The sequence below is a fragment of the Homo sapiens genome, chromosome 13, assembly GCF_000001405.40.
Source record: "Homo sapiens chromosome 13, GRCh38.p14 Primary Assembly".
NCBI classification, from domain to species: Eukaryota; Metazoa; Chordata; class Mammalia; order Primates; family Hominidae; genus Homo; species Homo sapiens.
This window is the reverse complement of record NC_000013.11, coordinates 76,662,157-76,690,076: the sequence shown is the minus strand read 5'-3', so window position 1 is coordinate 76,690,076 and position 27,920 is coordinate 76,662,157. Positions and strand designations below refer to the sequence as shown.

At 36.8% G+C, this 27,920-nt stretch overlaps 2 long non-coding RNA genes across 2 annotated transcripts in view; one reads left to right on the top strand and one right to left on the bottom strand.

The window, feature by feature from the left end:
- On the top strand, positions 1–22,018 carry LOC112268120 (uncharacterized). The gene is made up of 3 exons (XR_002957525.2): positions 1–644; positions 756–855; positions 21,983–22,018. It is a non-coding gene; the product is annotated as an uncharacterized LOC112268120 (long non-coding RNA).
- The window catches only part of LOC105370266 (uncharacterized), a 28,223-nt gene extending 2,248 nt beyond the window's left edge, over positions 1–25,975 (bottom strand). The window contains exon 1 of the long non-coding RNA XR_942099.3: positions 25,854–25,975. This is a non-coding gene — a long non-coding RNA (uncharacterized LOC105370266). The remainder of the gene's footprint in view (positions 1–25,853) is intronic.
- Positions 25,976–27,920: the final 1,945 nt, after the last annotated feature.

The following is a 27,920-nucleotide window of genomic DNA, read 5'->3' as shown; positions in this document are numbered from 1 at the left end:
GAGAAGTTTCTTTCTGCATAGTTCTAATAAGGGATTAATCAAATATGATAAAAGATAATGTTTTGTTAAAAAATTTATGGGTGTTGAAGGAGGCAGCCTGCCTGGGTTCCACAACTGGCTTTGTGTGATTTTGGACGAGTCATTCAATCTTTTGGGCCTTGGTTTCGTCATCTCTGAGTGATAATGTTTTGAGGATAAAATAAAATAACCTATGAAGTATTTAGCATGGGGGACTTCTTCACATTAAGAGCTAAATAAATGTTATCATGATATGTATATTAGTTGACTGCTTTCATCTAAAAGTAACAGAAATTCTGGTTCAAACTGGCTCAAACACTAAGGAAGTTTTTTTTCTCATGTAACAGGAAGATCAATGGTAGGGCATTGGTTACCTCCCTTAAGGGTAACTGTGAGTCCACAGTTCCATGATGTAATAGAGATCCAGGTTCTTTCCATCTGTGATCTCCAATTCTTAGTGTCAGCTTCATGCATAGGTAGTAACATGGTCATAGCAGTTTCTACATATGACAAAACCCAGAAGAACAAGGGATGCTATTTGTGGACTGAATGTTTGTGTCTCCCCAGAATTCATGTTGAAACCCTATTCCCCAGTGTGATAGCATTAGGAGTTGGGCCTTTGAGAGGTTAGTAGGATTAGATAAGGTCATAATGGTGGAGCCCTCATAAATGGGATTAGTGCCCTTATAAGAGTCACAAGAGAGCTTATTTCCCTTCTCTGCTCTCCACCATGTGAGGATAAAATGAGAAGTCAGCAGTCTGGAACCCGGAAGAGAAACCTCATCAGAAACTGACCATGCTGGCACCCTAAAACTGGGACTTCCAGCCTCCAGAATTGTAAGAAATATACTTCTGTTGTTTATAAGCCACCCAGTTTAGGATATTTTGTTATAGCAGCCTAAACTGACTAAGATATTATTCCATTTTGCAGCTTTCTCTTAAACACGGGGAGTGGGAACCCTCATGAAAACATCTTTGTACTTTTCTTTGACCATTACCGAATCAATCACTAACAAAGGAAGTAAAATTCCCCTTAGGCTCACCAGATACATCTTCTGAATTTGAAAACGGAGTTTTTTTTTTGCGGGGGGACAGGGGAGTGGATATTCCAAAATTATGCAAACAACTCTGATGGCGTAAGAACATCTTCAGGGCCCGGTGTTACAAGTAATTGAGTTCTCTCCTCCTTTGGAGATGTATCATATTGACATCACTGAGGAAACAGTACCAAGAAATAGGTTTTCCTTGCTAGCCATTAGGATGATTTTCAAGATCCTAATTTTTGTAGAATAAAGAAGTTAAATATAGAATTTTTGGTACTTCTCACATTTAAAATAGGATAGTAAAATACTGATTCTTCAGTATCAATTTTTAAATGAAATCATTACAATAACTTAATTTGCTTGGGCATTTCACATTCTTGTGGTTTGAGCCTTAATGTACCCGTGGAGGAAGGTAGGGCAAATATAAATGTGTTTGTTTCACAGATGTAACCAGAGATGGAAAGATAAAGTGATTGTAGTTAATGTCACTCTTCTGACTAACCCTAACCCCAGGCCTTTTCATTTTACCATGCACCATGTGCCTATTATTTCCCTTGATGTTCTGTCTCTTCAACTAGGGGATATGCTGTTTAAGGCAAGGGATTTATCTTCTATGTAGTCTGGTGTCTAGTATTTTAGGTTTAAGAAATGTTTGTTGATTATAAATGATTTGCTAAACTAAAACAAGATTAAAAATCTTGAGTTTGAATCTTTCCTTGACAATGATACACTTCTAGGCAAAACAATTAATCTCCTGCCTGCATCAGTCGTAGAGGGCATTTATTTACACACAAGGAAACTCGTTATCTTCTGAAGCTAAAAAGAAAGGCAGTTTGGGTCCTAATTTCCTCTTCTTGGCTTTTCATGGCTACTTCATAGAATTTTTCTCAGATTAGACTGTGTTTTAAGGCACAAAGCCACTAGCACACCAGAAAACCTGAGGATTATAAAGTAAGCCAAAAACAGAAGTAAACAAAGCCAAAATCAAACCCAACCAAGACAAACAAAAAAGAAAAACTGAAACCATTCCCTGGAAGCAAACAGAATTATCAGCTTCCAAATAGGGCTTTTCCAGGAGAGAGGAGCACAATCAATTAGAAATTGATCAAACTAATATACACAGTTCAGGATAAGATAACAGCACCAGCATCAACAAAATCCACCATGATTCAGTAGTCTAAGATATATGAGGTGGTTTGGCTCTGTGTCCTCAGGTGGGCCAAATCTCATCTCGAATTGTAATCTCCACGTGTCAGGGGAGGGGCCTGGTGGGAGGTGATTGAATCATGGGGCGGACTTCCCCCTTGCTGCTCTTGGGATAGTGAGTCTTCAAGAGATCTGATGGTTTAAAAGTTTGTGGCACTTTGCCCCTGTCTCTCCTGCCACTATGAGAGGACATTTCTGGCTTCCCCTTTGCGTTTTGCTATGATTGTAAGTTTCCTGAGAACCCCCAGGTCATGCTTCCTGTAAGCCTGTGGAACTGTGAGTTAAACCTCTTTTCTTCATAAATTACTCAGTCTTAGGTAGTTCTTTATAGCAGTATGAAAATAGATTAATAGAATATATGAGACCACTTTCTGGCATAAATAAATAATTTTTATTAAGTTATTATTATCTAAGAAGAACTTTCTAAATGAATTAAATTGTACTGAGTTTTCTGATAGCGTCTCTTTTTGATTGGTGCTCTGTCGATTCCATTGGAAACACCTGTATGGGTCATTTCTATCCTTGGACTTAGTTGGGAGGATTCCTCCCTGAAAGGGCCAGGGTGATCAGTGCAAGGCTAGAATCTAAACCCAGTTGGAGAAATATGTGGCATTGTGCCAGTGGTTATCTGCTTGGAGTCATTTAAAAAGCAGGCTAATTATTATTATTATTTTCTATTTTCACCTGATGAACTCCGTAACATTCCAAAATCACTTTGTATTTTATCAGTGCTTTCATAACAAAATTAATAGGATCATCTGAATGGACTGTTACTGCAAAAGCTTTTAGAGGCAATAAAGGTCTTTATTCTGTGGTGTGTGGTCTGTGCAAATCCACAGGAAGAAAAATACTTAAAAATGTATATTAGCATTCAGTCAGAATATGACGATTCCCAGTAATATGTGAATAAACAAAATAATTTTAAAAATTCTAATTATTAAAGTTGGTTATTTAAGTATAGCATATTTATTTTATGAATGCTATTTGTAAGCAAACTTTGTGATTTGTTTCACCTTTGATGAATGAGAGAGATTTGAGAGCTATGAAAAGTGTACTGTTTCTGATGTAGCACCTATGGCTCTGGTTGTGATTAAAAAAATAAGCATTTTTTAAAACCAACAAACAGGCTGGACACCGTGGCTCCCGCCTGTAATCCCAGCACTTTGGGAGGCTGAGGCAGGCGGATCATTTGAGGTCAGGATTTCGAGAACAGCTTGGCCAACATGTCGAAACCCCGTCTCTACTAAAAAGAAAAAAAAAAAAAAAAAAAGAAAAAAGAAAAATTAGCTAGGCATGGTGGCACTTGCCTGTAATCCCAGCTACTCAGGAAGCTGAGGCACCGGAATCACTTGAACCTGGGAGGCAGAGCTTGCAGTGAGCTGAGATGGCACCACTGCACTCCAGCCTAGGTCACAGAGCGACACCGTGTCCCAACAAAACAAAACAAAAAACAGCAACAAACAGGCTATTTCAGTATTATGGTAAATGTTGCACTTTTCAACAGATGCACCCTGAGTTCTTAGATTATCTAGTTCCTTTATATTCTCTCCTTTTAAAAACTGGCCTGCATTTTAGTCACTTCACCAGCGAAGTTAAAAAAAAAAAAAAAAAGAATGAACCAGGCATGGTGGCGCATGCCTGTAATTCCAGCTACTCAGGAGGCTAAGGTGAGAGGATTCCGTGAGCCCAGGTGTTCCCGGTTGCACTGAGCTATGATCATGCCACCACACTCCAGCCTGGGCGCAGAGTGAGATCCTGCCTCTTAAAAAAGTGAACTAACTGTGATGGCTAAATGGAATTCTCTTGTTTGAAATATCTTTCAGACACTCATCTTGGCCTTGTCTTCTTATTTATTAAAGCTACTTCCAAGCCTGATAGTCACTGAGTTTTAATGATGTGCTGAATTGTTTGTAAGCCTCTTTGCTGTTTTGGTTTAGTAAAGCATGGCAGCCCCGTTTTAATTGACAGCGGCTCTAGTCCAATTAACTGCCAATGACCCTGACAAGTTACTTTTCGGCCAGTATATTTCCATAAAATATTTCTTCATGTTAGGCGAAAGCAAATTTGAATTTATAGTTCAGGTAAAGAGAAAGGGCATTTGAAAGTCCTGATATAATTGCTGATTCCTTGTTGGAAACACATTTAGCTGTAGTTTCAGCAATACTTTCTATTAATCTTATTGCTAAATTATTAAAATACTACTGGGGAAAAAGGATTAATTCATTAAATCTGACAAGTTCTGTTGATTTTTAGATGGCGGGTACATCTGTAAGCACTAGAGCATCACTCAGTTATGTAGATCTTCAGTAAATATTGCCCTGAACTATGGCAGCTAAGGGAAATTGCTGAAAGAGGCAATGGGTTCTTATATAAGGCAGTGCATGAAGGAATATTGTTTGCTTGTAATAGTTTGAATATGTCCAAGTTATAATCTGGGGAATGGACTAAATGACTTCATGAATTTCTTCTAGACCAAAGAGTCAATGACATTTCACCACAATTAAATCTAATTGACCTTAAATTTCAATATTGTGTTCAGACCCCATATACTCCATTGCTTATTTTCATATGTAACCTAGATGCAAATTAAATCCTTTCATGCTCCTGATAGCTAAATATTGTTTTATAAGACCCTTGCTAAATCCATGCCTTACGATTTCTGGTAATTTTAAGAACCTTTCACTCAGAGTCTATTTTTCTGCATCTCTTTTATCCTTCATCAACCAGAGTTCAAAATTATTTTCCTGCTTATTTCAGAGTAGGTCTCAAATGCCTCTCCTCCCCTAAACTTGCATACCTAACTCATAAAAGTACTCAAGAGAACAAAGGAGGCTTCATCTCCTTATATAGCAGTTGGGGGCCATTGCTAGCAAAAAAGAAAAAATAGAGACGATAAGGGGAGAATGGAAGGTCACTGGTCTACAATGTTTTTCCCTGCATATTTTTTAATCAAAATTTATTTAAGTGATAACAGCTGGTCAAATGTTTTTCTAGTCTAATTCAAAGAGGATTACCTCCTAGGGTGCCCAGTCACTTTGGCAAGACAGCAGTTTATTAAGCATATGTCACATTTGATTCCATTAGCTCTCCTTTCCCAAACATCAGCTGCAAAAGAATCTTTCTAGTTCCTGTTCTAGCCTCTCTCCCTTCCAAGTTATCTTAAAAACTTTATTCGATGGCATAACAACCTGTCTGGAACTATTTGAAAGTAGCCTGCCCTGTCTGTTTATTAGCACTCATCTCTGGGCATAATCTCTGTAACTTCTCCACTTACATCAGGATACTGCCTAGGAAAGTGGGGCAAAAGTGAAATTCCAACACAGTTGTGTCCAGTTGATGCTGACAAGCCCTGCTATTTCAGCCTGGTCTCTGTTAGGAATATAGTTGCAGCTTTAGCTAAAAGTTAGCACATTGAGATAAGTTAGAAAGGTATCCAGAATACATTCCCATTGTAATTTTTTTCTTTGTATTTATAATCAAATCATCATTAAGCCTATAGGACCACCTGGTACTATTACAGTGAATAACGAATTCAGTACACATAATGCATCCAGCTGGGAATACTTAAGAACGCTCAATACTTTCTGATGTTTTTAATAAAAATAGGTTTTAATACTTAAAAATTGCAAGATGTAGGTTTCATTGGATGCTGGTCTAAATTAGAATAAACCATAGTTGAATATTTCCTTATCACTTGAGAAATGCTATTGAATGTCTTTTGATTGTTTTCTTAGCCACAGCTGAGTGTAGCAATTTTTTTCTGAACATATTTGAGAGTTTGCAAAACTGCTTACAATAGACACTTACACAATTATATGTTTGAATTTAGTTAGTAGGACTCTGAAGTAGTTATATATTTAAATCTGCAGAATGAGGCTCTGGTATTTGTTCAGTTGTAAGCTTTGGCAGTGTGGCAAATCTATACGTTTATCTCTTTACCTATTAAGCTTGCAGTTACCTACGTGATATACTCTTTTTCCTTGGAAGATATCTGTTTTCATTGTATTCTGAAATTTGTTTCATCTTCCTTTCATATTTTTTCATTTAATTCAAGGATTAACTTTATTATGTCTCTTCTCCCTTTCCCCAACCTACCAATAGCCACAACATTTTCATGATGTTCTAAATCTTGTAGCACGGAATAGAATATAAATGGAATTCCAAACAAGCAAATGCATAATAATCCATCACCTTTTTCTAGGGCGGACAGATATCAAAGGAAGTTTATGCTTTGCTTTCAGGGTTTTTACATTCACGTATTATTTTCACTGAGGCATTTAAAAGACTTTATTAAGTTTTAGTGTTTTCTGAGGATCTTCTTATTTTATATAAACTGATATGTTGAGTAAGCAAAATATTTCTTTCTGTAGTTCTACTGTTGGGCTATTCCAAAGAAATATGTTCTTTTTCCAGGAAGGTTATGCAAGTGTGCTTGATTTGTAGTTCAGGGCCAGCAGCAAACTACTCAACACCACAGTTTCAAATAATAAGACCAATGTCCTCATTTTACAGAAGAGCAGATACAACTAGAAGAAAAGTGAGATAGCTAAGTTAACAGCAGAGCTTGATGTACCTTCAAGTATAACCTTGTTGCTTCTCGTACAGGAGTTTTCCCACATTTATTGAGCACTGATTGCATGCCAAGACTGTGTTGATGACATTTTTATATGGTATACATTTCTCCTTAATCTTTATGACTTTGCAAATTTCATATCCCCATATTGTCTCTATATAGTACATATAACTATGAAAAGCACATTAATAGCTACTGTTTACATACATTTTAAGACATATTGGACCTAAGCAAACCAAACAAATGATAATACTAATTCACCTAAAAGAAGGACACTAACATAATAAGTAATAGGATTTGTTATCCCAGAAGTAGTGATTCCAGATAATTTGACACACTTTTCATATATATTTTCAAATAAGTTACAATGTAAAAATCAAGAGATCATAGGCTCTGATATCAGAAAGGCCCAGATTCAAATCCCATCTCTATCATCTATTGGTTATGATTCTTGGCCATGTTACTTGGACCTGGGGAAAATCAACATACAAATAGAAATATGTATGATTTAGCAAGTACTCTGATTGGGACATGGCCAGGATGCTATGAGAACATGGAGAAGGGGCCCCTAGCAAGGCTGGAGGTATTGGAGAAGCCATACCTGACCCTCTACAATTGAAAAGCTAACATTCAGATCTGTGGGATGATCTGAAAGATGTAGGAAATGTCTCTTGTTCAAAAAATATATCCTTCCATTATCAACCCTTTCAGTAATATACAGCTAGGATAGACTTGCTATTGTTATAACTTCTTTAGGATCAGACTTTCTCCATAAAATAAAAACATGTCCAGAGAGTGGGGTAGTATACTCAGAACATATATCCCTGCTCTCTCTTTCCCCTTACATGAGAGGAGGGGCAGGGATTTGGGGAAATAAACAAGGATAAAGGGTTGTATATAAATGGAACATTATCCAGCCCCAAAAAAGGGAATCCTGCGCTTTGCAACAATACAGGTGAGCTGTGAGCAACATTATGTTAGACTAATCACTGAAGGGCAAATACTGCAGGATTCAAGAGTTATCCAAAATAGCCAAACACAGAGAAAAGCAGAGAGTAGGTGGTTGCAGGAGTTGGGGGAAGGGGAAATGGGAAGTTGCTGTTCAAGGGGCTTAAAGTGTCAGTTATGCAAGACAATCTAGAGACCTGTTGTACAGCATTGTGCCTATAGTTAGCCTATAGATACTCATTATACACTGAAAATTTTGTTGAGATCTCATGTTAAGTGTTCTTATCATGATAATAACGGTTGTGAGGAAGAGACTGGAAGGGATTTGGTGAAAGTGCTGAGCCCAGATGTCTGGAAGAGCACTTCTCGGCAGCAGGAAGGGAGTGGGCAGTGGGTGTGGGTGTGGGTGAATGATAAGGAAGAATTCCACTGAATCAATTATTTTTCTCAGGCCCAGATGAGTTCGTGAATTATTTAACAGTAGAGACAAATTTTGGTACCGTGACCATGTAAAAAACTGACACTTGGAAACCTGAGCGTGTCAAAGAAGGGTTTTTCTTCATCTACAGTTTCAGCTTATACATTTTATGTAAACAACCATGAGAGGGGAGTGAGCCTACCTACGAATGTGGAAGGTGCAGTAAAATAGCTACTACAAAGGAATTACCTTTCACATGAATACAGTTTTATATATTTGTCAAAGCCTGAAGCCACGGTTGCCTGAGAGCTAGAATATGAAGAGAATCTTTGGGAAAGGTATCTAACCAATCCTAAAGCTGCGGTTTTCAATCCTGTGTGTCTTGTTACACTGGCCTGCTGACCGTGCTAGGAAATGGGATTTCCCTTCGATCTCCTAAGTGCACCACTGGGCAACGTGGGCCACAGTGTTCGGTTCACATATCCTCTGAGGCTTCCGTTTTAACCCTTGGAAAACCAAATAACTTAAGGTTTACTTCATTTCCGGCATCCCAGCTTATGTGCTTTTAATAAGGTAGATTGCTACCATATCTTGTCAACACAAAAAGTCAGTGACATGAGCAAGGCATGCTTTTGGAGTAATTTTTAGTATAGGACCTCATTTTCAAATATAGGTATGCACATTAAATATGACCTAGAGCAACATAATATTTTCATGTGCCTTATGTGTCAAAATGTTATCAAATATTTGAAGACAAATGAGTAATAATTAAAGATGAATTAAAAAGTTGTTTTATACAGAATAAGTGAGAATTCTTAAATAGCTAAATAGGGTAACAGATTGATGGTTATTAACATATGAAGAGTATTTTAACTCAATGCCTTTAGAAAGAATATGCAGTTAGACATATGTTTATAGAAATACATTACAACAATAGAGAGTAGATATAATTCTAAACTTCGTGAAATTTTTAGGGAGTTAACACTAAAAATGAAAACAAAATAACTTTTAAAAACATTAATTTTTGCTTTTATTTAAGGCTTAAGCATTTCAAAAAATCCTTTTAAGGAATTATTCATATTTGCAAGGAATAATTAAAAGCAGACTGTCAACTCAAGATTTAAAAGGAGAAAAAAATCTTTAAAAGTATGTACAACAGCCATGAAAATCATCACTGATCCAGGTATAATGAAGGCTATAACGAATGCAAACAAGAAGTTATTAGACGTTGTTAGACAGGGTAACTATGATGACAACCAAACATTCACAAGAAAATTGATAAGCTGCAAATTTAGGAATTTCAGAAGTGATGCTGAAGTTTGCATTTGACTGTTTGGCCTTCTGAAGGCCAAGGCCAAGGCTGAAGCTAATTAGCAGGTTTTGGAAAATTCTGTGGCTGAATTTAAGCTGCTGTGCATCTCCACATTTGGAGGGAATAAGAACTGCCTTAGACAGTAGCATATCATTAGAATTAATAAAGGTAAGTCATTTGATAAGTGTGTGCCTGCCATTCAGAGTAAGCGTGAACAATGCTAACACAGGAACCCATCAAAGCCACTTGTAGGAGAGAACATTACCACACCCAGGTACACAGAGGCAAAGACTTGACATACTTTGGGACAAAAGGTCTTGGTTTCCATTGGTGCCACAAAGTAATTACCCAGGTAAACCTCAGGGTCTTAGCTTCTGCAGTGTGATTTACGACATTCTTAACATAAATGTTTTCTTAACATTATTTTCCTTATATGATGGAATAGACTTAAGTCATCAAAATCTAGCCGGATCTCCAAGTCAAATTTGGCAGGAGGAAAGGAAAGAATGGAAGGTAGTATTGTCTTAGGAGGATGAAAGATCCTATGACAACCTCTTTGAGGTTGAAAGAGATAAGGTTTCCAACCCACATTTACCTTCTTTCATAAATTTCCTCCATTTGACTAAGGAGAAAATGATCTAAAATAGCAATGTATGAAAAACTAGATATGTTGCAAACACATAATATTAAACACCACGGGGATTGTCTCTGTGTTGGAGAGCCTTGTTTCTATGATCTTATTGAATCACTAGTGTAAGCTGACCAGTAAATTCTGAGGTTGGAAATTCTCTACTGTCATGGAATCCTAAGTCCAGCCAGTTGGATGAAAGAAGCGGGAAAAGTGAGCTGGGTGGTAATAATTGGGGTTTGCAAAATATTTTCTATCCTACTACTGACAAAGCAGATGGGATAGATGAACCACAATATAGATGAGTATTTTAAAAATATTTTTCATCTTTTTTGAGGTACAATCAAATAAAAATTATAGTCAAGATATGCAGAATGATATTTTGAAATACATACACATTGTGAAATGAAGGATAGCTGCATTCAATCGAATTAATTTATCACTTACATTGTTATCTTTTTTCTGATAAGAATACATAAGATCTGCTTGGCACAGTGGCTCACGCCTGTAATCTCTGCACTTTGGGAAGTTGAGGTGGGCAGATCACCTGAGGTCAGGAGTTTGAGACCAGCCTGGCCAATGTGGCAAAACCCCATCTCTACTTTAAAAAAAAATTAGCTGGGCATGGTGGCGCATGCCTGTAAACACAGCTACTTGGGAGGCTGAGGCAGGAGAATCACTTTGAACCCAGGAGGCGGAGGTTGCAGTGAGCCAAGATCATGCCACTGCACTCCAGCCTTGGTGACAGAGCGAGATTCCATTTCAAAAAAAAAAAGATCTACTTTCAGCAAACTTCAAGTGTACATTATTAAGTATAGTAATAAAGCTGTACATTAGGTGTCCGAACTTACTCATTTTATGACTACATATTTGTACCCTTTAACCAAAGTCTCCTCATTCTTTACTCCCCTCACCCCTAGGACCCTTCTATTCTGTTTCTATGAGTTTAATTTTTAAAGAGTCTACATCCAAATAAATTCACGCAGTATTTGTCTTGCAGTGTCTGGCTTGTTTTACTTAATGTCTCTGGATTCATTCATATTGTCACAAATGGCAGGGTTTCCTTCTTTTTCAAGGCTGAAATAACATTCTATCATATATGTAATTTTAGATTGAGGCTGGTGCAATAAGCTCAGCTATATGGATAAAGCCCTTCAGTTATATCTTCTTGCAGGCATGTATATCAGGACAGTGAGCATCACTTGTGTCCTTACCAAGGTAGGGCAAAGGTATTAGTGTGAGCCATATCATTCTCTAGATATAACCAACTCCAGGTCTACTGCCATGGCTTCTGTCATATCTTAGTTGAAGACACTGGGGACCATGAATTTTCAAATGCCCTGTTAGCTCTTTAAGTGCTTGACAGAACTTTCAGAGGAGCAGTAGCTTTGGTTGCTGGCCTGGGTTGGAGCTGGGAAGCCTATGACGGCAGGTCTTTTCTTCAGGCCACAATTTATGGAGCTGAGCCTGAGCCAAAAGGCTGCATCTAGGATGGAAAATAATGAATAGCAAGACTGTCCAGTAGCGTTTTCATTCAAAGTCAATATTCAGAGACAGGAATCCAAGTATGAAGCCACAAATACTTATTGCATCCCTATGTGCTAGGTATACTAGACACTGGGGATATATAAGTGGACAAAACCTGACAAAAGTCAGTCTCTCACAGAGGGTATAGTAGACCTGAAGGGGTCTCTGAGCTGGACTTATAATCTCAGCTGCTTTGCATAGTACATTTGAGGCCCTGGGCATAGCACCTTGGGATTACAAGGTCTGATCGATGACTATGCCACATTTTCTCTTGCTCCTAGAAGTGTAAACCTGTTTTTCCCTCTGTTTTGAATACTTTTACCCATTCCCTTCCTCCATCACGGATACCAATTTCCTGGATAGCTCCTACTTATTCATTCTAAGTCATATGGTACTTCTGGGAAGTTGTTCCCAATTCCCAGGCCTAGGTAATGTGTCTATTCCAAGTGCTTCCACAGCACCCAATACTTACCATTGTTAACATATGAAACACATTGAATTATAATTTCCTGCTTGCTTTCTGTGTTGCCCATAAACCTGTAGCTCATTAAGGGCAGGGATTCTGTAATACTACCAATATTTCTCCAGACCCTAGTGCAGTGACCGGAACATGGACTCTAAAATATTTGTAGAATATGGGAGTAGTTGACAATATGTGGGAGAAGCAACCATTGATCAACCAATTGGGACAGAGAAATGTGTTGTACCAAATTATTCTAAGTTAACCAGGTGAAGTCTGTTTACCTATCTGTTTGTCTATTTTTATAGCCAAACTTGGAAGCCACAAAGTTTATTTGTAAGAAACATAAAGGATTGTTTCAGATGTATCTGATAATCTGGCAAATTGTATTTTCTAAATATGGCTTCACCAATATGTATCCCATCCCATATGCTTGTTAAAGAATATGACATTGACAATGTTGTCTCCTCGTTAAAACTGAATACACATTTGGAACTGCCTTGACCAATAGGACATGGTAAAAGTGATGCTGTGTGACTTTCAAGTCCAGGTTGTAATTAAGCAGTATGGATTCCTCTTTTTTCTCTTAGCTCGCTTACTTTTAGAACATAGCCACCAGGCTGTGTGGAAGCCCAGACCACGTGGTGAGTCCATGTGTGTGTATTCTGGCCCATAGCCCCAGCTCAGACCTCAGCTGACAGCTGGACTCAAATGATTTCAAAAAGCCTTCAGTAAGCAGCCTTTGGATGATTCTAGGCACAAGATTTTAAGCCTTCCAGCTGAGGTCCAGACGTAATGAAGTAGGGACAAGCTGCTCTGTGGTCCCAGTATGAATTCCTGACTCACTGATATCATGGAGATATAATAAATGACTATTGTTTTCAGCCACTACATTTTGGGGTGAATTTTATGCAGCAATAGCTAATAATACAAGCAGGAAAGTAATTTTCCCAGCTTTCATATTCGTGATGCTGGCTTTCTCACTGCAGTTAGAACATACTTCATAAACAGGTCAGTACTTGTTATAAACAAAACAAATTTGTATAAAAGAAGGGAATACTGTAGAAATGGTAATTTAAAAAAAGAAGTGACTGAAAGTTAATAATTAAAATATTAATGTAAATTAAAATTAAAGATTAAGAATAAAAGTTTAAAAATTTTAAAAAACTAGACTATAATAGAATTTAAAATCAAAGTTAGGACTGATATAAGTAAAATGAATTAAAAGTGTTAAAATGGGAAATCCACTCCCTGTTTCAGCATGTCCTTCCTTCATTCCTTCCTTCTTTTCTTCTTTCTTTTTTCCTTTCTTTCCTTCCTTCTGATACATAACTAATTTGCAAAAAATTCTGTCCTTATAAAAAAGAATTAAATACATGAAAAGATGCTCAATTTTACTTACAATTAAATACATTCAAATTAAAATTCTAATTATGTCTAAGTACATATATGCACACACTTATAATTAGTATATTTTATACCAAAGCCCACAATTTATTCAGATCTCCTTTGCTTTTGCCTAATGTCCTATTTCTGTTCCAGGAGTCCACATTACATTTAGTTGTCATATCTCCTTATGCGTCTCATACTATGGCACATTCTCAGACTTTCCTTGTTTTTGATGACCCTGACAGTTTTGAGTACTGTTTAGGTAATTTTAGAAAGTCTCACAATTGAGATTCGGTTGATGTTTTTCTTATGATTAAATTGAGGTTATGAGTTTTGGGGAAGAATACCGAAGTGGCAAAGTGCCATTCTCATCACATCACATCAATGGTAACATGGCTTATTCCTGCTGATATTAGGCTTGATAAGGGCTAATAAGACATTATGTTGGATGTCATAGATTATTGAAAGATTTCTCCACTGTAAAGTTATTTCCCTCCCCCCTTTCCACAATATACTCTTTGCAATGAAGTCACTGTGAGCCCACACTCACGGGAAGTTATACTCTACCTCCTTGAGAGCTGTATATCTATATCAATTTGAGTCTTTTTTTAAATTAAAAAGTCTAAGGATTTATTTAGTTGTATATATTATGTACAGCATGATGCTCTCATTTACTTAATCATTTATACTTATGAGTTCTTTGTTTCTTTCCTCCTCTCTTTAATTGAGCATTTAATATGATCCCATTTTATCTTTTTTAGCGTATCAATTATACTTTAAAAAAATTAGTGGCTGTCCTTGAGTTTACAATATACATTTTTAACTAATACATGTCTATTTTCAAATAAGCCTATAGCACATCACAGGTAGTACAAGTAATTTATGATGGACTATTCCCAATTCTACCCTACGATCCCTTGTGACATTGTTGTCATTCATTTCACTCAATACATCGTGACTATATTTTTAATAGTCAACTATTTTTTGGATTAATTAAATAAGAACAGTTTAAAAAATTATTCTGACTCTGTATGAGTCAAGATTCAACCAGAAAAAACAACAGTAGAAGACACAGAACTTTTTTGTAAGCAATTGGCTTATGCAAGAAGAGCTGGCTAGACAATCCCCAAATCTGTAGGACAAGCTGTCAGAAGGGGCAGGCTGGAACTCTGGCTGTTAAACCTGAAGCTGCAACTGCTGTCCACAGGTAGAATTTCCATTTTAGGAAAAGCTTGGCTCTGCTCTTAAGAATTTTTAACTGATTGGATTAAGCCCATTTGAATTATCTAGTATAACCTCCCTTACTTAAAGTCAACTGATTATAAACTTTGATCACTTCTGCAAAACACCTTCACAGCAGTACCTTATTTATTTTTTATTTTTCCATAAGTTCTTGTGGGTACAGGGATATTTGGTTACATGAGTAAGTTCTTTAGTGGCTATTTGTGAGATCCTGGTGCACCCATCACCCGAGCAGTATACACTACACCATATATGTTATCTTTTATCCCTCGCCCCCTCTCACTTTTCCCCCCAAATCCCCAAAGTCCGTGGTATCATTCTTATGCCTTTGTGTCCTCATTGCTTAGCTCCCATATATCAGTGAAAACATGCCATGTTTGGTTTTCCATCGTGAGTTACTTCACTTAGAATAATAGTCTCCAGTCTCATCCAGGTCATTGTAAAGGCTGTTAGTTCATTCTTTTTTTATGGCTGAGCAGTATTCCATCATATATATACACATATATATGATATATAATATGTTATTATATATAATATATAATACATAAAATATACATATATAAATATATATATAATACATAAAATATACATATATAAATATATATACATATATATGTGTATATATATATAATATCAGTTTCTTTATCCACTTGTTGATTGATGGCCATTTACCCTAAGATCAGTATTTGATTAAATAACTGTAGCTAGCTAAGTGGATGCATAAAACTGACCATCATGTCTTCATTTATTCCTTCTCTGATATTCTTCCTTTCTTAATGTAGATCCAAGCTTCTGACCAATGTTATTTTCCTTCTGCCTAAAGTTTTAAAAACATTTCTTAAAGGGAACTTCTCTTGGTGATGCTTTCCATGTTTTTTTTTTTTTTTTTTTTTGGTGACACTCTTAATTCTCTTTCAATTTTAATAATAATTTTGATGTACATAAAATTCTACGTTGGTGGGGATTTGTGCTTATTTAACCTTTTTTTTCTTATATGGTTTCTGGCAAGAAGTGTACTGTAATTCCTATTTTTGTCTGTCTAAAGGTAAGGTGTCCCCACATGCCCCACACCAGTCTGGCTTCTTTAAAGATTTTCTTTGTCTTTGATTTTCTGCAGTTTAAATATGACATGCCCAGGGATAGGTTTTGTTTGTTTGTATTTATTTTACTTGGTGTTTTCTGAACTTCCTAAATCTGTGGTGTGATGTCTGTCACTAATTTTGGAAAGTTCTTGGCCATTTTTATTTCCATTAAAAGATAAACTTAGGCACATTACAATTTTAAAGAGTTTATTTGAGCATTCAGCAATTCATGAGTTGGGCAGTGCAAGGCACAAATACTTCAGGGCTCCACTGAGGGGGCTCAAGGGGAAACTTCTGTTTCCAGAAGAAAGATTAAAAAAGAATTTGATTGGTTTTAAAATGGGAAGTCCTTAGAGGTTAGTTGGTGGTTTCTGATTGGTAAAGTCTCTAGTTAAAAGTCAGCTGGACGTTTCTGATTGGTTAAGCTTCAATTTTGCTTGACAGTTTTGTTTCTATGTTAGGGAAGTTTCTATTGATCTATCTTCAATTCCACTGATTCTTTCTTTAGCTGTGTCCAGTCTACTGATGAACTTATCAGGGGCATTATTTATTTCTGTTAGTGTTTTGATTTGTTAGTATTTCCATTTGATTCCATTTTTCTGCTTATCTAATCCATCTATTCTTGCATGTGGTCAACTTTTTCTATGGAGCCCTTAATAAACTAGTCATACTTAGTTACTTAAATTTTCTGCCTAATACTTTAAAAATACTTGTTTTATCTGAGTCAACTGGCTGTTTGGCACAATGTAGCCACTCAAATCTTAGTGAAAAGAGTAAATGAATGAATACCAAAATAAATAAGGAGTACAGAAAGCTCAATTATTGAGCTTCAAAGGCATAGACATTTTAAAAACACATTAAATATGTGCTTAGTGAAACAAGTTAAAAAATGAATGGTAACATACTGTGATAGGTTGAATGACGCCTCTCAACATATTCAGATCCTAATCTCTTAAAACTGTGAATGTTATCTCATGTGAAAAAAGACTTTTCAGAAGTGATTTGGTTAAGGACTTCGAGAAGGGGGAGTTATCCTGGATTATCCTGGTGGACCTTAAATGTAATCACAAGTGTTCTTACAGAAGGGAAGCAGAGGGAGATTTGGTACAAAGAAGGCAATGTGACCACTGGAGTAGGATTCTATGCTGCTGGTTTTGAAGATAAAAGATGGGGCCAGGATGCAAGAAATGCAGCTCTAGAAGCTGGAAAAGACAAGGAAATTAATCTTCCTCTAGCGCACTGTACTGCCAATACTTGGTTTGGTCTAGTGAAAAGATTTCCGACTTGTGACGTCCAGAGCCATGATGGAATAAATATCTGTTAGGCTACCGAATTTGTGTTAATTTATGACAGAGGTCATAGGGAACTCATACACACAGTGAAGTCCTTAACAGATATGTGAGTTGGCCCTGGCTTTCTATAGACTTGAAGGCCCCTGCTGGAATGGAAGCTGTCTTGGTGGTGGAACCCCACGTAAAGGGAGAGGATGGGATAGAATCCCCGAGGTGCCACCTCTTCTCAGTCATTGCCTCACTAACAATTTTAACTCCATGCCAGAACATCTATTTTAAGTGGAGTTTACCTGCCAACTAATGAGAGATTACTAGGCAAAAAAGAATGAGTCATGTCTCTCTGGCTGTATAACTTCAAAGTCTCCAAGGTTGGGCCTCTTGGCAAGCCACAGAACTGAATACTCAGCAAACATTTAGAATAAAATGAAAATTGTCTTAGATAAATTGGCCAAAAAAAAATCCTGAATATGAGCAAAATAGAAAAGGATAGATACCTTTGAAAGTATAAAAAAGGTTAAAGAGGCAAAAAACATGCCAGCATATATAGAATGCTACTAATTTGTTCAACTTTTTTTTAGAAATAAGAAACTAAAACAGATGTGTCTCCAAGTTGACTCGACATTTTTGAAGTATTTAGTTTCTCGAAATAGAAAAAACCTAAAGGAATAGAAAAAATCTAAGAAGTTAAACTGATAGAGCATAAATAAAATAATAAATTTTGAGAAAAAAAAAATCAGGTAAATATACCATTAAAGACATTAATAAGGAGTCCATATAAGTAATTCTTATATTTCAAAGACTGTAAATGTCTATAGTACATATCATTCTAAGTGCAACCTATGAAAGACCCCTATTTTATTTCAGTAAGTGACTAAAATACCTTCATCAAAAATACACTCTGTTGGACCACTAAATTCCTTTTGTAATATATACCCTAGCAATCTCAAGTCTGCCCCAGTGATGTACAATGTACAAATCATTACACACCATCCTTTCAAGTCAGTAAATATTCATTATCTACTATGTAGTGGACACTATTTGAAGTTTCTGTCTCCAAAGAGTTCCATGAATTTGAGGATTTGTGGACAGTATCTGATCTATCATCATTACTTATTAATTTTCACATTCTTATTATTACCTTAAAGCAAATGTGTCAAATTGAAAAGATGATACTGTTTTCAAAGGATGCCCCTGAGTAGGCTACTGAAAATATTTCACCAGCACAATTTGGTATTTTTTTTTGGGTGTGTATCCACATATTTCTTAACAGTCAGTATTAGGAGCAATTTTCATTCTCAAAAGTTTCCTCTCTTGTACTGAATAAAAATTTAAGGATAACTTAATTATTATATGAACATAATGGTTCCACATACCTTCCCCTTTATATTTTAGCTTTAAAAAATATTTATTAAATTTTATTTTAAAGTATATATATTAATTTTGTTTTTAGAGACAGGGTCTTGCTCTGTCACCCAGGCTGGAGTGCAGTAGCACAATCACAGCTCACTCTAACCTCAAACTCCTGGGCTCAAGCAATCTTCTTGCCTCAGCCTCCTTAGTAGCTGGGAACGGGCTCAGGCCACCATGCCTAGCTGATTTTTTTTTTTTTTTGTAGCAATGGGGTCTCACTATGTTGTCAAGACTGTTTTCAAACTCCTGGCCTCAAGCAATCCTCCTGCTTCAGCTTCCCAAAATGCTGAGATTACAGATGTAAGCAACTATGTTGGGCCTATTTTAGCTTTTATCTGATAAACATCCCTTATGTGTCAATTCATGCTGTTTTCTTTTTCTACTTATTAACTTTTACCACACTAGTTGATTTGTGCTAAAAATCACAAAGCTGGACCAAGATAAGGAATTCGTGTCACGTAAAAATGAGAGTGTAATGGGGATGGTGTGTCCTAATTATGTGAATTAATTGCAATGGCATCTGATTTTTTTCTGACTATGTAACTAGTTCATAGCAAGAAAGATTATAATTCAGAGTGTGTCACAATTGCTCAAGTGAAATTACATGTAATAAACTTCCTTGCCCCACTGTCCCTTCAGAATTTCAGTCCTAGCAGCCAGATCATTTTTGTTCCTGTGGAACTGGTAGGGACACAGCAGAGGCCCCTGGCATTTGGCAAGCTCAGGTAGAGGCTCGTGGTCAGGCCAGCTGTGCTGCTGGTCTTCTCTAACCTTGGCCTAGTTAATTGGGCTTTCATCTTTTAGTTTCAAGAAGTGAGCCTTGGTCTTACCTGTCCATATTATTTTACATCTGCGGATCCTGCTAGGATCCCAGTTCCTTCATGAATAAAGTTTCCCCGGATTCTTGATAATCTTCTCAGGTTTGGACTCCACTTCTGTCTGCAAAGTCCAGGTATCAGGACCAGATGGACTTTAGTTCTTTGGTATCTGACTTTTCTGCTTAGTTTCTTCCATTTTTTTTTTTTTAATCCCCATCTGGTACTAGAGCCACCCAAAGTCTTCCTGGAAATATTCTCTGTCTGCTAAGAATTGACTCTTGGCTGTTTATATCACTCACTCTTTGAGCAACTCTTGACTTTTGCCTACAGACTGTGGTTAAGGACCTTTCCTCACTACCTACTCTACCTATCCCATTGCCAAGCCTCAAGGACAACATCAACTGCTTTTTCTATATCCATAAGTAAATGACAAAGGAAACCTTGAAAAATATATTTATTGTTTTCTTTAACTTGGTATATTATTTTATAAAAGAAATGTATACTTGTATCAAACACATTATGTAGTAAAAAGTGAATGGCCCACCTTCTGTATCCTCTAATATCACCCCTTAAAGAAACCAGAGTTAACTATGTACCAGGAATAGTTAGTTATCAACCCCACTGCCTTGTTAGAATCAGCAGAATTTAAAAATGTTAGCTAGGTCAGGTGCAGTGACTCATGCCTGTAATCCCAGCACTTTGGGAGGCTGAGACTGGTGGATCACTTGAGGTCAGGAGTTTGAGAGCAGCCTGACCAACATGGTGAAACCTTGTGTCTACTAAAAATACAAAAAAATAAGCTGAGTGTGGTGGCGCATACCTGTAGTCCCTGCTACTCTGGAGGCTGAGACAAGAGAATCACTGGAACCCAGGAGGTGGAGGTTGCAGTGAGCAGAGATCACGCCACTGCATGCCAGCCTGAGTGACAGAGTGAGACTCCATCTCAAAAAATAATAATAACTAGTCTCTACTTGGTGGTATTTAACAACCAGTCATGTGAGGGTAGGGGAAAGAGGAAGGGTCTAGCTTGTAGCAATTGTTGATTACTCGTAACTACTCCCATTATGAACAATTTCAAGCAACAAACATGAAATTGTGAAGTTAACTGGCTGATTGAATTTCTGAAAATCTTACAATTGGTTCTTGTGAGCCTGGATGAGCCAGCTTTTGTAGACAACTGCCTCCAGCCCCATCTCATCCCATCCCATCCCACTGTAAATGAATCAGAATCTCTGGGGATCAGTTCAAGGTAAATCTGTCTAATATAGAGCTCTTGTAAGGTCATATTAGGAACCTGGGTTTGTAACTTGTCTCTGTCACTTAATATCTATGTAACTTTGGGAAACTTACTATGCCTTAATTTTCTCCGAGGATAACACGGTGATCTTAATTGTCCCTATTTCACAGGGTAATTACAAGATTAAATGAGTTGATGTAAGGCCCTTAGCTGTAAGGCCTGGCATGTTAGCTATTACTAGTCTGTCAGAGCTCAGTTTCTTCCTCATACCTGGGCTGCTTAAAGAAGACTACTTAAACCTGAATAGTAATTTTTGTGTATTGAGTTATTCAAAGCAGCTTAAGGATCTGTGTTGGAAAGAAGTTAAGATGAGCCTAGATTAAGAATTGAGACTGAAGACAAATAAGAATTCCGATTAAAATGAGAACTAAAATTCACAGGACATTGAATTTCTTTCCTTACTCCAGGCTGGGATGAAAAGGTTAGGGAACATTTGTTTAGCTTCAAACGCTTCCTATGGACTTACCCCAATACTGTGAACCTAGTTAAAAAATGCATGCTGCTTTGGCTGTGCACATCACACAAAGGGGCACATTCCTTTAAAGAAGCTCACCTCCACAGAGTAATAACAGGCTTGGGCTTTGAATACTGAAAACATAAACCAGCGCCTTGAAATTAATTTCTAAAAAAGAGCTTAAGGGCTCGGATCCACTTCTCATATCATTAAAATACCTGCTCTCTTAAGGAAACCTTGTCCGCTTCAACTCATAGAAATTTAGAGCTAGAAGGCACCTTAGAGATCATTCCTTATTCACTTAACAGGAAACAACCTGTTGCTAGCTAGATCTGGGGTTTAATAAGAAAATTCTGAACAAGCCTCTGGCATTTCCTCAAATGTTCATAGGCTCTCAATTTTTCCCTTCTCAACTGAGCCTTCTAATGGATTTTTCAACTTTTGCTGCAAGTCCTGTTAACCACACTTTGCCAGGTCACTCTAAACAAAGGAAGACCTAATAAACAAGAAGATAAAGGAACCGTAATGGAAGTTATTTCTAAGTAATAGCATTGGATCAGTTCAGAAATAAATCCCTTTGCAGCAACAAGTATTTGCAAACATACGTGGGATTCAACTCCAAAGCAAGTTGTGGTCAGTGTTAAGTGATAATGAAAGGTCTATCTTTTACAGATAATCCACATTCCCACAGCTCTTTGCTTCTGGAAAACTGTTTACAGTGGAAGAAGTAAGATACCAGTAAGATACAATTACTGTGGAGGCTGCCCCATAGAGTAGCAATTATGTTCCCAGCTTTGGGCATTTTCCTCTGTGGTTCAGAAATCTGGAATTTCATCTTCTAAAAACACGTTTTGAAATTTGACAGATGACATGAGATATCAAGGAGGAAAGAGAAAGGAGCCCGTATTTTTTTAAAGCTTTTTTCACACAAGACACAGTAAGTACTTGTTTCCATATGTTTTCCCATACAGCTTCATGACAACTGTAAAGTTAGGTTCCATAATGTGGTTGAGTCTTAGGATGAATGTTTACTGAAACAGTTTTGTGCATCTATATCTGACTCCAAACCTCTTAGTCAATCTTAGACCCATGCTGCTTATGGAAGTCAAGGACTAATGCAGTACTGTTATAAGGGCATTGACCTGTTTAGGTTTCTTTGTGTATTCTTCTAAAGCTCCACTGAGAGTAGAAACACTGTTACTCATCTTTACATCTATGACCAAGCATTGCCCCCTGGTGCATAGAGGAAAACTCTTGCTCTGCAATAACTAGAAAGATTTCAACATTAACATGTGATTATATAATTATAGGCCCTATCAGACTTTCCATGACTAGATTTTCAAATGCCTTGTAAATAGGAAATTAAGTAGGACTTAACATACTACTTCATTTTGGCACTTAGTAGTTGCTAAGTAAGCATTAGTTTTCGTCTCCCACCGAAAATGGCCCAGTAGTCCCATAGACAGTTGTTTTTGGATAAACATAGAAATTGACCTTTCTACTGTTAAAACTTGAAACTTGTATTTGTTTTATCTGAGTTCCTTCTTCAGGAAAGAACCTTCAGGCCTCTCAAAGTATCAAAGAACTGAAACTCACCAGGTCAGGGTACCAGATGTCACCTTGTTCCTCATTAGTTCCTGCTTTCTTACATGTTGTTAACATTTCTTCCTTGCTTTATAAACCCCTAGTTTTAGTCAGTCAGAGAGATGGATTTCAGGCTGAGCACCCATCTCAGCTGTAGCATCTGAATAAAGCCTTCTTGCTCGGCAGTACTGATTGTCTAAATGATTGGCTTTCTGTGCAGCGAGCAGCAGGACTTAGACTGAACCCGGTTCTCGAGTATACATGGAGGTTTAGGTTTACTACAATGGAAATAATTCAATGAGTGTCAAATTAAATGCCAATGCCTTAGGAATCAAATGTGCTAATGAAGATTGGTATCCGTCATTTAAGCACCACATATCATTTTCTTTATGAAAAAACTTACTGAATCTCAAATAATTTACAATGAACTTTTAGACCAACACTAGTCCATATATTATCTGAATATATATGATATATACTGAGTCCTATCTGTATAGGACTCATATTTAACTTCAAGCATTTTCGTTAAATATGCTGAAATGTTTCAAGAAGTTAAAAGTTTTCTGAGAAAATCCTAATTTTATTTTTTCTTCACTATTTAATATTCATAAGGTGATGTTTTCATGGTACAAGTTTACATAAGAAATCTTACCTATCGTGTTGAACAATTAGTAAGGTTTCAGTTGGGAAGCATACTGCAAGATAACAGTCTGAATGATGTCTGAAAACATTGCATCTTGTGTGGGAAGCAGGTCTGGTGAACTTGCCCTTAGATATACCTGATCTTAAATACATGGTCAAAAAACAGGTAGAAAGTTCCTGCCCAAAGATGTTTTAGTTTTAAAAAAGGCATGAGGTAACCAGTCAAGGGCCTAAAACAAGAAAGACTCAGCTTCTTCCACAGTAAGAACCTAGGTTGTGTGTTTCACAGGTCAGGCTGAAATAGGAGGTCTATAGATGGGAGGTCCCACCTCAGAGTTTCAGCTGGGGAGATTTTAGACCCACAGAGAAGCTAGAAAATATACACAGGGAAGGTTCCCACTGACACCCCTTTGAAGCTGCAGGGATTTCTTCACAGCATGTGAAGCTGGAAAACCTCTTTCTGTTAAATGCCCACACAGAATATTGGGACTTGGTGAACTCAGATGGAACCAGAGCGCTTACCTTTTTCTCCCCACTCAGTTCTCCCAGACAGAACTCTTGGTGTTCTAAGTGTGGGTTGAAGTGGCTAAATGTAGCCTCTGGATGATGAGAAAACTATAGATTTCCTTTTGGATGACCAAGATGTGGGAAGGAGCTATTGGAGTCATTCAAAACAAGAGCAAAACAAAAACAAAACTCCAACAAAAACCCCAAATCAGGAGAAAAGGAAGAAATCAACCAGCTGACCTTGAAAAACCCTGTGAAAATCCGCCTAGTCAGACTTCGTGATTCTATTTAAAATCTTGTTTCTGCCCTGTCTTAATAGGCTCAGACTCTTTTACTATCTTTTATTTCTGTTTTTTGGCAGGTTTCATATTTCTAAGCTTATGCTGTTGTTTGTGTTAATGTCTGTTATTGTTTGGGGGTGAACAGGAGTTGCTTTGGGGCTCCCTGAACACGTGGTGATTGATCCTGGTTCTAGATTCTAAAGTGAATTCCAGCAACCACATGAATGTTTAGAGATGAGAGTGAGAAACTAGAGTCTGTAAGAATGGGAGGAACTGGCTGGTGGCAACAGCCATGGGGAAGAGGTCTTGGGACAGGCAAAGAAGTTGGAGATTAGATTAGGTATACATACCTCAAGGCATGCCTAAGTGAGACAGATTTCCTAGCCTATGGAAAAGTTAAAAGTAGCTACCATGGCCTTCAGGTTCATGGAAGAAGGAAAAAGAAATAACAAAACCCAAGCAGAGTAGAGCATGCATACCTGATCAAATTAACCCCTTGGTTTCAATGCTAACCTACTTCTACCCCCACCCCCCAATACCATGATGTTTCAGTGTCTGCAACATGTGGGCACTGAAATATTTGTTGAAATAAAATGCTGCATTGGTGTGAGCATGTTGTTGAAATTGAGCTATAACCTCTGAAAGGAAAACCAAGACCTTGGATAAAGATAAGAGGAGAATATGATGTGACTTCTCACATGTCTTCTAAACATAACATGATTTTACTTATCTTCTTTTATAAACCTGGAGACTTTTCTCAGACTGTAATTGGATATTTTATTTAAGGTATGATTGGAAATGTAAGCTCCGAAGATGGAAATGTAGTGGGGAAATGTTGACAACGGGTACAAAGGAAGTCCCCAAAGTATTTATACAGCAGTTTATCAGGCATGGATGCTAAGTGTTTAGAAACAGATGGTGCCTGCAGCTGACTAAAATGTGTAGTCAATAAATTAAAAACCAGGTGGGGGTGGTATGGAAAGAGGTTTACAGGTGTCAGAAAAGCAAAAGGCATGCCAGATTTAATGGTGCTTGATTTTATTCTAGTTGGGTAATCTCCAGATTTCCTTGTTGGTGAAAACAGTTGGGCACCCTATATATTGGAATAGTAATATTAAACATTTCTCGATAATTATCAAACAGAGTTGATAGGATCACTGCAGTTATTTCTTTAGCTGTTGTGATAAGAACATTGATTTTTTCATTATCATAATTTTAGGATATAATACAGTTACTTCCTTTTCCCAGGAAAATAAAATACTATTTAAAAATTCAAGTCTAAGAACTGTATTGATGAAAGGATATTTATGTGCATTAAAAATTAATTTGAGTTTTTTAAAATAGCACATCTCCTTTGTGTATTTAAAGTGGCATTTCTATTGTATAAATATTCAGAAAGATCTTAATTTGTCCAGAAATGCTACAAATATTTGCTTGTGGCTTTTTCAAAGGATTTATATTACAGAGGTAGAATTATAGAGAGGAATGACTGCTTAGTAGCTATGAAATCTTAAACATATTTAACTGCTCTGATCTTATTTGTAAAAGGAGGGAGCTGAGATACACATTTCTAACATGGTTTCCAGTTATCTACCCTGTAGGTCTATAACTCTGCTACATATAAAACAAAGTTTTCCTAAATAACAAAATTCTCATTGTACTATTGTGCAAGCATATTTCTATCCACTAGAAAATTATCTAGCCAAAGAGAAGCTTAATTACCTGATTGTAACCCATTCTCCCCTTCCTCTGTTTGCTGTCTCTGTAGCAGTCATACTGTTGTGCAATGAGGAGAAACTAGCAGAGCTATTACAGAATTCTTCCAGGTTTTCTCTAGCTGCAACAGCACAGTTGGCAAGTAACAGTCGTTTAAAATGCTTCCTCCCACTCTACTCTCCAATTCAAACAACTTCATTTCTCCTAAAAGGAAAACAGCCAGTCAGCTTAAGAAAAAAAAACCTACTCCCTAACAAATTATGAGAACCAACATATATAGCAAAATATTTTATAATCATTTAACCAATCTAACAAAAGAATAAAAGTTTATGCATGACCAGAGCATGCTGTGCTCTTCATTTGCCCACTTACGGTGCCCACATGAGTATGGGTGTTCATTCTTTTTACTGACTATTTTTACTAGCTATGCAATATTTTTACTTCTCTAATTTTCAGAGGAGGAAATTTTTTTAGCACAATTTTAGTCCAACACGTACTCCTCTACAGTTCATGTGGTTTGTCAAAAAAGTTAATATTGCTGGAAAAAAGAAGAATGAATGCCAACACAAAAACATGGTTTTCAGCGTCTGGAGTACTGGCCCTCCTCTGTGTTCATTTGGCAAAGCCACTTTTTCTTCAGCACTCTGCTCCAAAGGTTTAGCTCCAGGTGGCTGGTTGCTTTTTGGTGTTTTAAAATGTACTTTTGCACACCTACCTCTAGGGATTCAGTATATATTACACATATATTACATTCAAAGATTATCTCACCCTACTTTAATTTTTTGATTTCCATCTCTGTCTCCTACATTTGTCTGAATTTGTATGGGGATTCAGTACCATGAGCAGGTGAATAAGTGAATTCTTTCCCATGAATGCAAGGGAAGGAAATAACTATGAGAAGGAATTTGCAGAGATTTTTTTCTCCCCCCAAGAATGAATGAGGACATGGTGCTAACAAGAGAGACAGAGAAGGAATAGAAAGAGGACAAAAGGAAATCCAGGAAAGAAGATTGATACAGAAGTTAGAGAAAGGGTTTATATTAGAATGTATGTCAAGTTAATAGGGTCAAATACCCATTTTCAGATGAGATCAGGTGTGTTAAGGGTGGAACAGCCATAGATGAGAAGTATATTTTCAATCAAGCATTCTATAAAAAGTACTTTAGTACAATAATTAAGAAATATGTGCTCATTGTAGTTGGTAAAACAATGCAAAGAGATGTACTTAAAAGATAATTTTTCCTCATTCCTCTATTCCAAGTTGTTCCAAACTAATATGCATATTGGATGTTAAAACTTCTATGACTTTCTCAGTGCTTATGCAAGCAAACAGATATACATATAGCGGTATTGTTTGCTCTTTTACAAAAATTTTATTGTAGTATACCCATTCATGGGCAGATTAGCAATACATCTTAGACATTTTGCAGAAGACTAGATATTGATCTAAGTCCTTTTCCTTTCCTTTCCTTTCTTTTCCTTTCTTTTCCCATTATTTTTCTCGTCCCTTTCTTTTCTTTTCGTTTGTTCAAGGGTTACATCTGTAGAATGGATACTCCACAATCTATCTATTTCTGTATCAATGATAATCATTTGTTTCTAGAGGTCTTTTCTTTTTCTTTTGTCTCTGCAAAAATGTTGCAATAGTCATCCCATTACACACAGGTGCTTTTGTTTCTATAGGGTGGATTTTGTGAAGTGAAATTGCTTGGTCAAAAGGTATGTATATTCTGAATGTTAACAATTACCAGATTTCTTAATGTTAGCTTATTATAAGAAGCTTAGGCAACTTGTAGTTCCAGAAATAAAATTGGAGCACCCATTTTCCTGTATCTTCATCAGTTCCAAATGTCATAAATCTTTTTGTTTTTGCTGATATGGGTGAAAAATGCTACTTTATTTTTATGTCTCTATGTACTAATGAGGCTAAGCATCTTTTCATATTTATTGACCAACTGAATTTTATCTTCTGTAAAAAAACATTTTGTCCATTTTCTTTCATTGTTTCATTTTTTTTCCAAATTGGAGGCATTCTTTTTGCTTACTAGATGTAGTGATCTTTTGTCATATGCA